Raw genomic sequence first — 13,048 nt, forward strand, 5'->3', positions numbered from 1 at the left:
ATCATCAACATGAGCATGCAACACTGAAAGAATGCTTTGAGAGCTCTCAAATTCTCAAGAACACATTCATGGACTCTGGGTGTCCAGGGATCCCAGTCTGAGAAACACTGCTAGACATGAGTCTTAATTTGCTAGGATTATCAGTTAGCATTACTCTCAGCTTCAAATAACAGACACAGAATTACAGAGGCTTGGCCAAATGTGTTGAGTTTCCTCATGTGACAGAACACCCAGAAGTGGTCAGCCAAGACCGATGCATCAGCTCCAGCATGCTGTCAAGGCTGCTGTGTTTGACATGCAACTCTCAGAATTGCAAAATTGTTGTTCCACATCTAAACACTGCATCATGATCCAGGCAGAAAAACAGGCAAAGAAAGGCAAAAATGTCTATGCTCAAAAGACTTTTTCATTCTATTCCAGAAGGAAATTCCTCCTATGGAACATCTCATCAGGCCTCTCTTATCCCTCACTGACCAGAGCTCAGACACAAGTCTGTTTTTAACTGCAAGAGAGGCTGGGGAGTTGAGTGGTTTCATTTCCAGCCTCCAAAGTAGATGAAAGCAAGGAAAACAGCAGCCTCACCCAGAGAACCCAGTGAGCCCAGGGGTTCTTGTCCACTTCTATGCCATGCATTCCTCCGGCAGTCTGTTGAAGCCTACGAACCCCTTCTCAGACCAGTATTTTAAATATGTAAAATAAAATGCATATTCAAAACAAAACCAATTGTATGAAAATGCACTTGTATGGCAGCTTGGGCTGCCATAACAAAATACTTTAGACTGGGTGGCTTAAACAACAGAAATTTATTTTCTCATGCTGCTGGAAGCTGGGAATCTAAGATCAAGGTGCTGACAGAGTTAGTTCCTGGTGAGGCCTCTGGCTTGCAGAAGGCCACCTTCATGCTGTGTGTTCACATGGCCTTTCTTTAGTGCTTCTAGTGCAGAGAAGGAAAAGGGGTGGGAAATGAGGAGATCCTTTTCTTAGAAAACCACTAATCCTATTGGATTAAGGTCTCTTATGACCTCATTTAACCTTAATTACCTTTAAAAGCCCTATCTCCAAACACAGTCACATTGGGGTTTAGAACACCAACATATGGATTTGGGAGGATATGATTCAGTCTATGGCAAAAATTATCAAAATATTTAAAAACCAAGGCTGGACACAGTGGCTCACGCCGGTAATCCTAGCACTTTGGGAGGCTGAGGTGGGTGGATTGCCTGAGCTCAGGAGTTCGAGACCAGCCTGGGCAACATGGCAAAACCCCATCTCTACTAAAAATACAAAAAAATTAGCTAGGCGTGGTGGTGTGCACCTGTAATCCCAGCTACTTGGGAGGATGAAGCAGGAAAATCGCTTGAACCCAGGAGGCAGAGGTTGCAGTGAGCCAAGATTGCACCACTGCTCTCCAGCCTGGGTGACAAATGAGACTCCATCTCAAAAGAAAAGAAAAAAAGATTTTTTAAACCATATGTGTGACATAGTATTATATATTCTTCTTGAACAGATTAAATAAGAAGAGCTATCAAAAAGTCTAGTAACTACTATAATTCTGAAGTAGTGAGGAGTGAGAATTATATCACAGGATTTTTGCAAAAGCTGTAATAATATAACTAATACTACTGCATTTTGTTCCCAACATTCACAATTGAAGAAAATGCTAAACTTCAGTTACAGGAAATGTTTTTCCATCCAAAGTTATGGATTCCTTGGATTCTATCCATGAACTCCTTAAGGGATCCTTGGATCACAGGTTAAGGACCCTTGATTTTAGTCCACAAGAATAATGAATTAGAAAACAGTACTCTCTAAGTTCTGCGGAGACAAGGCTATTGAATAAAGAGAAAGTGAAGACAGTTAAAGGCAATTTTTTTCTTAAACGAAGTTTGTTTTCAGCACTGTCCTTCTTCATTTTCTCAGCTGTCCAAAAGTTTAATACTTCTTCTGGGCATAACTTAGGGACCTCTTCCTGCCCACATCCTACTCTGCCTGTCCATTGCCTCCAAGTGTCCCACCATCAAAAATTACCACCTCCTCATTTCCACCGGCAAATCAGAACCTCTTCCCACAGGGCAATATATTTCAGCTGTGGACTATTAGGAAAATAATCTAATTAAATGAAGTCATCCCAAGGGGTCAGCTCCTCAACCTAGAATGTTTGCATTCATCTAAAACTTCACTTTGTCACCCAAATAAATCTGCGATTATTAGGACTTTAAATGAAATGTTTCCCTTTTGAAGTTGGTTGCGTGAGGTTCCATCACATGCTGTCAGCACCTCTGCATACAGCCCAGCAAGCTGTGTGCTGCCTACACTATCCACAGAGACTATAATTTGAATGCTGTCCCAGGTGCTATGTCACACACCAGAGTCAAAGAGGTGTACTGCACATTCTTGTGGAGATTTTCAAACTTGAGAAGTGTGTACTTTTAAATGAATATAAATCTCTCAGATCCCCAGGGTTAACTTCACATTTTTATGCTGGATATTTTTATTATGTTACTTACATACAGAAATAGAATTAATCAGGCATATGTCCCTTAATTAAAAACAATAAAAATTTAATTCAAAACAAACTAAACAAATTAAGTTGAATTACATAGGATGGATGATGTTTTACTGAAATCAATCATGACTGCATGAATATGATAAAGACCCTTAAAGAGAGAGGCTCATTTTGAGGTCAAGATCACTTAAAAACCATGGGCGCTTTGATATATTAAATCCTTTACTACTTGATTCTAACAATTCAAAGCCTTCATATGGTGTATTAGTTTAACCTTTGGTTTTCATTTGACCTTTTTTGTTTTGTTTTGTTTCTGTTTTTTGAGGCAGGGTCTTACTCTGTTGCCCAGGCTAGGGGGCAGTGGCATGATCTCGGCTCACTGCAGCCCCGACTTCCCGGGTTCAAGTGATCCTCCCACCTCAGCCTCCTGAGTAGCTGGGACTGTAGGCATGAGCCACCCCACTGGCTAATTTTTTTGTATTTTTAGTAGAGACAGGGTTTCACCATGTTGCTCAAGCTAGTCTCAGACTCCTGGGCTTGAGCCATCCGCCCACCTCAGCCTCTCACAGTACTGGGATTACAGGTTTGAGCCACCACACCAGGCTTATTTGACATGTTAAGTGTGACTCGTTCATTTCTTTGGCCCACAGCTAAAGGAGTACTAATGGGAACCAAAAAAAAAAAAAATCCTTGTCTCTACAATTAAGATGTCATACAGATGATGCAGAATTAATTTGTTAATGGGCCTTATCACAACTGTAAATACATAATGTTATTTTTCATATATTTTCTATGTGAAAAAAATTCTGTTTGCTTTTATTTATGTAAATGGTATTAAATTATAAATTTCAATCTATTTTTCACTTTTTTGCTTAAGACTTTCTAGGTCAAATCATTTTGCTATATAGAGAGACACATAATGATAGGGTTACATAGCTATAGATACATAAACCTTACAAATTTATGTGAATTACTTTCTGGAATATGGAACCACAAGTGGTGTTGCTATGTACTAGGGAATATGCATACTTAATTTCACTAAGCATAGCCAGATTGCTTCCAGAAAGCATGTATCAGCTTGTCCTCTGACATGACGGTTCCTGTACCCTGCTGTTCTCACCAACACTTGATAATATCTGACTTTCTAATTTTTGCCACTCTGATAGATGTAAAGAAGTTCATAGTTGTCTTAATTTGTCTTTCTCTGATTACAAATGAGTTTTTTTTTTTTTTTGATGGAGTCTCACTCTGTTGCCCAGGCTGGAGTGCAGTGGCATGGTCTTGGCTCACTGCAACTTCCACCTCCCCTGTTCAAGTGATTCTCCTGCCTCAGCCTCCAGAGTAGCTGGGATTACAGGCACATGCCACCATGTCTGGCTAATTTTTGCACTTTTAGTAGAGATGGGGTTTCACCATGTTGGCCAGGCTGGTCTCAAACTCCTGACCTCAGGTGATCCACCCACCTCGGCCTCCCAAAGTACTGGAATTACAAGTGTGAGCCACCGTGCCTGCCCATAAATGACTTTTATATACTGCTAGCCTTTCAGATGTTTCCCTTCTATGAATTGCCTATTAAAGTTTTTGCCAAAATGCTGTTGGATTAGCTTTTGCCAAAATTCTGCTGTATTTCTATTTTTTCTCATTTGTAAAAGTTCTTGGTCAAATTTTGATATTAATTCTGTATTGACTTGAGTTCCTTGTAAATATCTTTTATCAGGCACCTGACCTCAGGTGTCCCTATTAAACCAAAATGCTTACTTTTCTTGTAGTCAAATTTGATCAATTTTTTTGCCAAATGGTTACTGACATTCTGCCTTTTGTGACCCAAAGGTCACAAAGATATTCTCCAACACTTTCATCTATTAGCCCTATAATTTTGTTCACATTTTCTACATGCCTCAATTGTCTCAATTATATACTTTCTCCACTGGTATTTGGGACCATTCTTATCAAATATCCACTTCCCATATACACATGCATCTATTTCTACATTTCTTATTCTGTTGCATTGTTTTATATGTTTTTCCTAGATTTCAGAATCATTTCAAAATTGATTTAGCTATTTGTGGATTTGTGATTTAGCATTTTTTATTCCTCTATATAAATTTTAGAATATGTTTTTCAATGTTCTCAAACAACTCTCTGGAATTTTCATTGGGATTGCAATGAATTTGTAAATGTAGGGAGTACTGACATCTTAAAATATTACACTGGCAGTACCATAAATGAGTTATATTCCTACATTTATATAGAGCCTCTTTTGTTGTCTTCATAAAGATCTCGTGCATTCATTGCTAGGTTAAGTCTTAGATACTTTACACCAGTGATTGCAATTTTTTTCACATCATGGTATACAAAGAAAATGATCATATTTGTATGTGGTAACAATGGGCATCTTTGTAATATTTCCAGTCTTAAAGGGGATGTGCCTAAAGTTTCTCCATTAATGTTTGCTGTAGGGTTTTTTATGCAACTTCTATCAAATAAGAACATTTCCCTCTATTCTGATAATTTTTGTTATAATCAGGGTTCAGCTTCATCAGTTGCTTTTTCTGCATATATTAACATTATATTTCTTTTTTCTTCTATTAATGTGTGAATTACATTGATAGTTTGGCTCACTGCCATAAATTCATGCCATTGAGTTTTTGAGAAAAGCCCTACTTAATGATGATGCCATTTTTAATAAAATGTTGGGTTTAGTTAGTGAAATTCACATATGTGTTTTAAAATCATAATGACTCTGCTTTTCTTGTTCTATTTCCTCTCTCTGATTCTGGAGTAAAGGTTATGCTAGCCTCATTTTGTGAGTTGGACTTTTCCCCCTCTTCTTCTAGTATGTAGACCAGCTTGCTTAAAGATCTATCTTACCTAGGTTTTCAAATTAGTATATAGTTCATGTATTTCCTTCATGGTCTATTTTAATGCCCCTCCAATGCTTCAGAGGTTGGAAAACTCAAAGCACTTCATGGATTTCATGGTAACTGTGATTTTGGATGTAATTACATATTCCTCAATCAGATATACTTCTATGAGACTTGAATTACGAACAAAGGTAAAAGGGGAATGTATCAGTTGTCTATTGTGCATAATAAACTGTCCCCCAAAATTAGCGACTTAAAACAATGATTTATTCTTCCTCAGGATTCCAAGGGGTGTTTGGGCAGTTCCTATCCTCATTTTTTTTGGTCTCTTTAGGTGCTGAATTTAGTGCTATAGGTGATAGAGCAGGAGCACCGTCATCTGGGACAAACACCGCCACTTTAAGTTCCAGCTCCCTTTCTAGCCTCACGCATTTCAAGGAAATCACTTCTCTTCTAACTAAAGCAGACAGAAAGAGCAGACAGTAAAACACAGATAAGACAGCTCGGGCACAGAGGGAGGTGAGGGGAAAGTCTCTTGGGTAACTGCCAAACTTCACCATCATACAATGGGGACCAGTAAAACAATGGGCCTTAATAAGCAAGCACATTCCTTTCCCTTCAGGGGCACTAAGATAGAAAAGCTAAAAGCAGACTCGGGGGATATGCCTGCAGCTGCAGAAAGATGTAAGGGAACAGACACACAGCTCTCCCTCCCAGATAAGCACAACAAAGAGACACAGAAGCAGTCGAACCCTCTGATAAACTCTCCTACCCTGAATTCTTAAAAACTCTTAGTCTGTAAGAGAGTGCGGCTTCTGGCCGGGCGTGGTGGCTCACGCCTGTAATCCCAGCACTTTGGGAGGCCGAGGCTGGCGGATCACGAGGTCAGGAGATCGAGACCATCCTGGCTAACATGGTGAAACCCCGTCTCTACTAAAAATATAAAAAATTAGCCAGGCGTGGTGGTGGGCACCTGTAGTCCCAGCTACTCAGGAGGCTGAGGCAGGAGAATGGCGTGAACCCCGGGAGGCGGAGCTTGCAGTGAGCCGAGATCGCGCCACTGCACTCCAGCCTGGGCGACAGAGCGAGACTCCGTCTCAAAAAAAAAAAAAAAAAAAAGAGAGAGTGCGGCTTCTGACCTAACTTGGTCAGAAGTCTCTCCCAGGTTTGAAATAAACCTGTTGACTGTCAAGCCACCCTTCGTGTTTCTCTCCCCTTTCTTTAATTCTTACATTTGGTGCTGAAACCAAGGGCAGGTGTTGGGGGCAGAGGCTCTCTTGCAACCCAGGAAGCAGTGAGCAATGGCAGCTCATCCTGAGTTAACTCCTGGATCCTGAGGGTATCTGGCCACCTGCCCCTGTCTTTTCTCTCACTTCACTTTTCAAGCGATTTGTGTGAGGACTACTAACCTGAAGGGGACTGCTAGGCTAAGGCCAGGGCTCTCAAAACCCTTAGGTCTCAGAATCCACCTCCAACCACCGGCAACGGGTATTCACTCCCTAACCCTTGCTCCCCTCTTCCTCTCTCTCTCTCTTTCTCTCTCTCTCTCTTCCTCACATGGCTCCAGTCTGGGAGGCCCTTTGCCAATTCCAACTGGAATATCCAATATCGGACACGAACTCAGCCAGCTGGTAAGATCTGCCTTCTCCTGGCTTCCTCCTGGTACCAGAGAAAGTCCGGCCTGCCATCCAGGTCCTTGGAGGACCAATGGGACTAAGCTAGAGAAAATCTTGGGGATGCCCAGTTCCTTCTCAGCTTAACTGGCCTCTTTCAGAAAGAGGGTTCTGGGTCTCTGTCTTTTGTCTGGGGACACCTAGAAAAAAGACCACCCTTGGCTTCCTTTTACCAGTCCGTATGGGTGCCAAACAATCCCACATTCCTACATCCTCCCCACTGAACTGTCATCTTCGCAACCTCTCCAGACTTGGCTTACGTGGAAACCTAAAGCCAAAGTGTTTAATTTTCTGCTGCAACATGGCTTGGCCCCAACACAGACTAGATAATAACAGCCGATGGCCCAAATACGGCACCTTTAACTTTCAAATTATCAGGGACCTTAACAACTTTATCACCAGAAACGGCAAATGGCAAGAGGTTCTCCATATTCAGGCTTTCTTCTACTTTAAACCCCACCCCTCCTGGGACTCCCTTGGAAAACAGAAAAGGCTCCACAAATCCCATTTTGGGAAAAATCTCTGTTGTCCTTATGGAGCCACTGGAATTAAAGGTGAATAAGTACCTCTCAAAATCTGTCTTTGTCTTCCAGCTATGCTTGTTTATTAGGCCCTGAAAATTGTTTTCCTAGCCCTGTTCTTAAAGAGCCTCATCCGGAGGCCAATAATCCCATTAGGAAATTAGCAAATGTAAATCTTATAACTACTGGATCTTCTGCTGGTTGTCTGTGTGGCTATATATGTGTTTATGTGTGCAATGTCTATTAAAAAGAGCTCTAATTAATTAACTGGCCCAAGAAAAATAAGCACTTAAATCAAATATTTTTAAGGAAAATGTTAAGCAAAGTAATACTGTGTATATTGCCATTTTACTTTATTCTTCTATTGAAGCAAAATTGTGGGGTTTTATTATGTGTGTGTGCTTTTGCTAGATGTCCCAGTTAGCTGTGCTTAGATATACCAGTACTATTTATGGTTTAAGTTTTAATTCTTAGGTATGTTCTTCAGCTCTAACATTGTTTTCCAAAGACACACTAAACTGTATTGCAGTTCAAAAATTAATTACTTAAGGGATCAATCTGGGCATTGTTCTTGGCCTTAAATTTAATAGCAAACACAGGACATGTATATTATCACTATATTAATATTTATTTATGTGTTTATTTATTTAGAGACGGAGTCTCGCTCTGTCGCCAGGCTGGAGTGCAGTGGCACAATCTCGGCTCACTGCAACCTCTGCCTCCCAGGTTCAAGCAATTCTCCTGCTTCAGCCTCCCAGGTAGCTGAGACTACAGGCATGCGCCACCACACCCAGCTAATTTTTGTATTTTTAATAGAGACGGGGTTTCACCATGCTGGCCAGGATGGTCTCGATTTCTTGACCTCATGATCCGCCCACCTCGGCCTCCCAAAGTGCTGGGCTTACAGGCGTGAGCCATCACGCCTGGCCACTATATTAATTTTTAAAAGTTTTTCTTTGACATTTAAAATCATGACAACAGATATTCACATTTAATGTTTATGGAAATGTAATGTCTTTATTGATAATTTTATTATAAAATTTCATAAATCGTGTTTTTCAAAATAAGTTTATATCAAATCCAGCTTCCCAGAAACACTAATAGTTCAGCATGTCAATGTACTAACTAAATCATTCACTTGTACCCATGGGGAAGATTTTAGTGTTATTGCCCTCCACAGTGAAAAAAAAAAAAAAAAGAAAAAAGAAAATCTTTCATTTTTAAAATTAGATTAGGAAATGTTACATAACTTGGCACTTTAGTAGTGCATATACTAGCATTAGTTTATAGACTGCTTTTGCCACTGGGGAGTTCAAGTTGAAATGTCCCTCCGTCATGTAGCTCTGGAATACACCTTCCATTCATAATTTCTGCTCAGATAATTGAATAGTTTACCATCTAGGTTATTTTCATTTATACGGTAAAACAAAGCAAACTACTCCCGTTTAATTTTTTTATACTTAGAATATTGCACATTTTCTATATATGAGTCATTCGGATTAGTATCTATGTAGGTTCAGTCAGATCCAACCATGGATTCGAGTTATTATACTATATAACCCTATAAAATACATAGAAGTATTATTACTTTGCCTTTAAAACAAAACCCAAGAGTCTGTTTCGATTTATGAATTCAGCATTTAAGCAAAGAGATTTTAGTTCCCAAAGTCGGGGGAAAAAATGACAAAACAATGAGGGAAGAAGGAACCAGGCCTTAGTGCCACACATTTTTCTCTTTGGGTTGTAAGGTAGAGCCTCCTTCTTTACAGAATGCTTTATTATATTTTTTTAGACCTGATTTTCTGTGTCAAAGCATAATTCTCATGCTGAAGCTCTAGCCTAAAAAAGCAAAAGAAAGTCTTCATTGTACAAAACATATTCATCACTTTAACAAGATCATAAGGGAACAAAAGTTAGGATTTAAACTGAGCGATAATACTGTTTGAATGAGCATGTCCCTAAGATAAACCAGAACTGGCAGTTAATTTAGACATCTAGAAAATCTCATTTCCTACCAGTAAAAATATTTTGAGTGTCTAGTGCTCCTTAAGAAAATCTGGTGGCCAGGTGCGGTGACTCATGCCTATAATCCCAGCACTTTGGGAGGCAGAGGCGGGCGGATCACGGGTCAGGAGTCAGAGACCAGCCTGGCCAACCTGGTGAAACCCTGCCTCTACTAAAGATACAAAAAATTAGCCGGGTGTAGTGGCGGGCTCCTGTAATCCTGGCTACTTGGGAGGCTGAGGCAGCAGAATCGCTTGAACTCAGAAGGCGGAGGTTTCAGTGAGCTGCGATTGTGCCACTGCACTCCAGCCTGGGCGACAGGGCAAGACTCCGTCTCAAAAAAAAGAAAAGAAAAAAAAGAAAATATGGCATACTGAATAAATAATGTTCATGTGGGAGCCAGGAGCTGGGTAAGCCTTGCCTTTCAACTACTCTGTGACTACAAAAATAGTCAGCACTTTTGGAACTAATAAGACTTCACTTGTCAGTGTCATAAAGAGTACTGCCCAATGGCCGGGCGCAGTGGCTCACGCCTGTAATCCCAGCCTTTTGGGAGGCCGAGGCGAGTGGATCACGAGGTCAGGAGTTCAAGAGCGGCCTGGCCAAGATGGTGAAACCCCCGTCTCTACTAAAAATACAAAAATTAGCCAGGCATGGTGGTGGGCGCCTGTAATCCCAGCTACTCAGGAGGCTGAGGCAGGGAATTGCTTGAACCCAGGAGGTGGAGGTTGCAGTGAGCCAAGATCGCTCACTGCACTCCAGCCTGGGCGATAGAGCAGGACTCCGTCTCAAAAAAAAAGTATTGCCCAGCTGAACTTTGCTCCCACCAGTTCAGTAGTTACTTATTTCTACCTAAGCACTCCCCTTCCGATTTTACCCACGTATTTAGGATTGAAAAAAAAATGCATTATATTTGAGAGCTACTTCCCCCAAATTACAAAATGAGTCAGTGTTTTTAGTTTCAAGTGATTGACAAAAAAATGAAAATAAAAAAAAAACAGGTTTTACATTAAAGTTAAAAATTGCTAAAAGTTACCATTATAACATGTAATTGGCCGGGCGCGGTGGCTCACGCCTGTAATCCCAGCACTTTGGGAGGCCGAGACGGGCAGATCATGAGGTCAGGAGATTGAGACCATCCTGGCTAACAGGGTGAAACCCGGTCTCTACTAAAAATACAAAAAAATTAGCCAGGCGTGGTGGCGGGCACCTGTAGTCCCAGCTACTTGGGAGGCTGAGACAGGAGAATGGAGTAAATCTGGGAGGCGGAGCTTGCAGTGAGCCCAGATCATGCCACTGCACTCCAGCCTGGGCGACAGAGCAAGACTCCATCTCAAATAAAAAACAACAACAACAACAACAACAACAAAAAATGTAATTAAAACTGCTGAACAGGGATTTGCGTGCAAGGTGTATAAAAACAGTAAAAAGTATTTTTAGTTAAAAATTATAAGAAGGCATAAAAATGTACATTTTGCTTATGAATAAAAAGTCATAAAATTAAATAAAGTGAAAGGTTTAATTTTAAAAACATTGTAAAAATTAATCCTGCAAAGAAAACTCTGTGTGTAAACATATTAACTAAACTCAAAAGACAGGTATTATATGGTTTTTTTTCTGTAAATTGAACACTAAAATAAAGGCACCACAAGATTTTCTTAAAATGCTAATCTACTATTTAGCAAAACTTGTCAAGGGTTATAACGGGTATGTAAAAATCTCACTTCATAATCAAATTGGTTAAAATTAAATAAAATTATCTATAAGGTTTCATTACAATTAGGGTTAACATTAATAGCAAACTAATGCAAGGGTAAAATTTAACTTTCTCTTTTAAACAGAAATTTCATATAATACAAAAGGCTAAAAAATGGGTTTTGCTTTTCCAGATTGTTAACTCATCATTTTGGCAAAACAAAACAAAACAAAACAAACAAACAAACAAAAAACAACTTATGGTAATCTAAAATTCTATTTCATAATATCAAGGGTTTTAAATTTTAAACATATTTAACAGCCTTCCCAAAATCAAACTTTAGTCTCAAGGTTGTCTTTCCCAACCCCTAGCTTTTGGGTGCTGCGCAGGACCCCTGAACCATCTGAAAAAGAGGTAAACAGGATTATTTGGCAACATGAGATTGCCAAAATAATGTCTAATAGGTTATATTTTAGGGAATAATATTAACATAAGTTACAAAACTGTATGGGGTGTCTAAGGTTCTCCTGTCCAAATATGTACTATTAATCACAATTAAAATTGTTATGTTGGGTTACTGTAAACCACAAAAATTACCAAATTTTGTTGTCAATTGCATTTCTAACTGTATCCAAACTGAACATCTTGTTATTTATAGATAATTGTTATTTTGTTTTAATTCTCTTCAAAACATGGTTTATATTCAAGCTGTGGAACTTTAACAAGTGCTCTCAAATGCAGGTTATTCACAACAGCAACAACAGCAAAATGTAAAGGACTCATGAAAAGCAAAAATGTTTATAAATATCAAGCAAAACAAAGGTTAATAAAGTGGACTAAACTAATAGAAAACAAAAACAAATTTTTTATCTTTTGCTTTGAACACTGCTAATCTTTATCTTATTTTTCACAGTCAAAGAAAACTTGTCTTAAGCTACCTACAGCCTTTAACAACTAAGTATACTCCTGTAAATAGAATTTAAAGTGTGTTTGTTTCTCTCTGCCTAGTTCCTCTAGAATTTGAAAACTAGTCATACGTATTCTTAAATTATAACAACATAGTTGTTTGCATCAGCGCATTTTCTTTTGTAACAGAACACAATTGGAAAACCTGGTTATTTTACCAAGGCTTTGACTGGAATGGTGCACTTTCCTTAAAGGAATCAAACTTGACTTATGAAGCCAAGAAAGCCCTTGGAAACTGGCCTCATATTTTGTGTACACAGTCCCTGTACAGGGTTTCTGATCTGTGGTAAGTAAAGAATGTCACTTTCTGACAGGCCAGGAACGCCAAGTTATCTTAAAACCTCAAGAGGAGAGGAATTAAATGCCAACTCATAGGCATTTAATGGTACAAATCCATGACTGGGCTTGGCTTTAACAAGTCTTATCTCAAATTTCTTTTACAAAACAAAGTTCCAATGGCAATCATTAAAACGTCAGGAAACAACAGGTGCTGGAGAGGATATGGAGAAATAGGAACACTTTTACACTGTTGATGGAACTGTAAACTAGTTCAACCATTGTGGAAGTCAGTGTGGCGATTCCTCAGGGATCTAGAACTAGAAATACCATTTGACCCAGCCATCCCATTACTGGGTATATACCCAAAGGACTATAAATCATGCTGCTATAAAGACACATGCACATGTATGTTTATTGGGGCACTATTCACAATAGCAAAGACTTGGAACCAACCCAAATGTCCAACAATGATAGACTGGATTAAGAAAATGTGGCACATATACACCATGGAATACTATGCAGCCATAAAAAATGATGAG

At 39.4% G+C, this 13,048-nt stretch overlaps 1 long non-coding RNA gene across 2 annotated transcripts in view; it reads right to left on the bottom strand.

Annotated features, from left to right (window-relative positions):
• Positions 1–13,048, bottom strand: part of LOC105376136 (uncharacterized) — a 30,466-nt gene that overhangs the window by 9,169 nt on the left and 8,249 nt on the right. The window lies entirely within an intron of this gene.

This window comes from Homo sapiens, chromosome 9, assembly GCF_000001405.40.
Source record: "Homo sapiens chromosome 9, GRCh38.p14 Primary Assembly".
In the NCBI taxonomy this organism is placed as follows: Eukaryota; Metazoa; Chordata; class Mammalia; order Primates; family Hominidae; genus Homo; species Homo sapiens.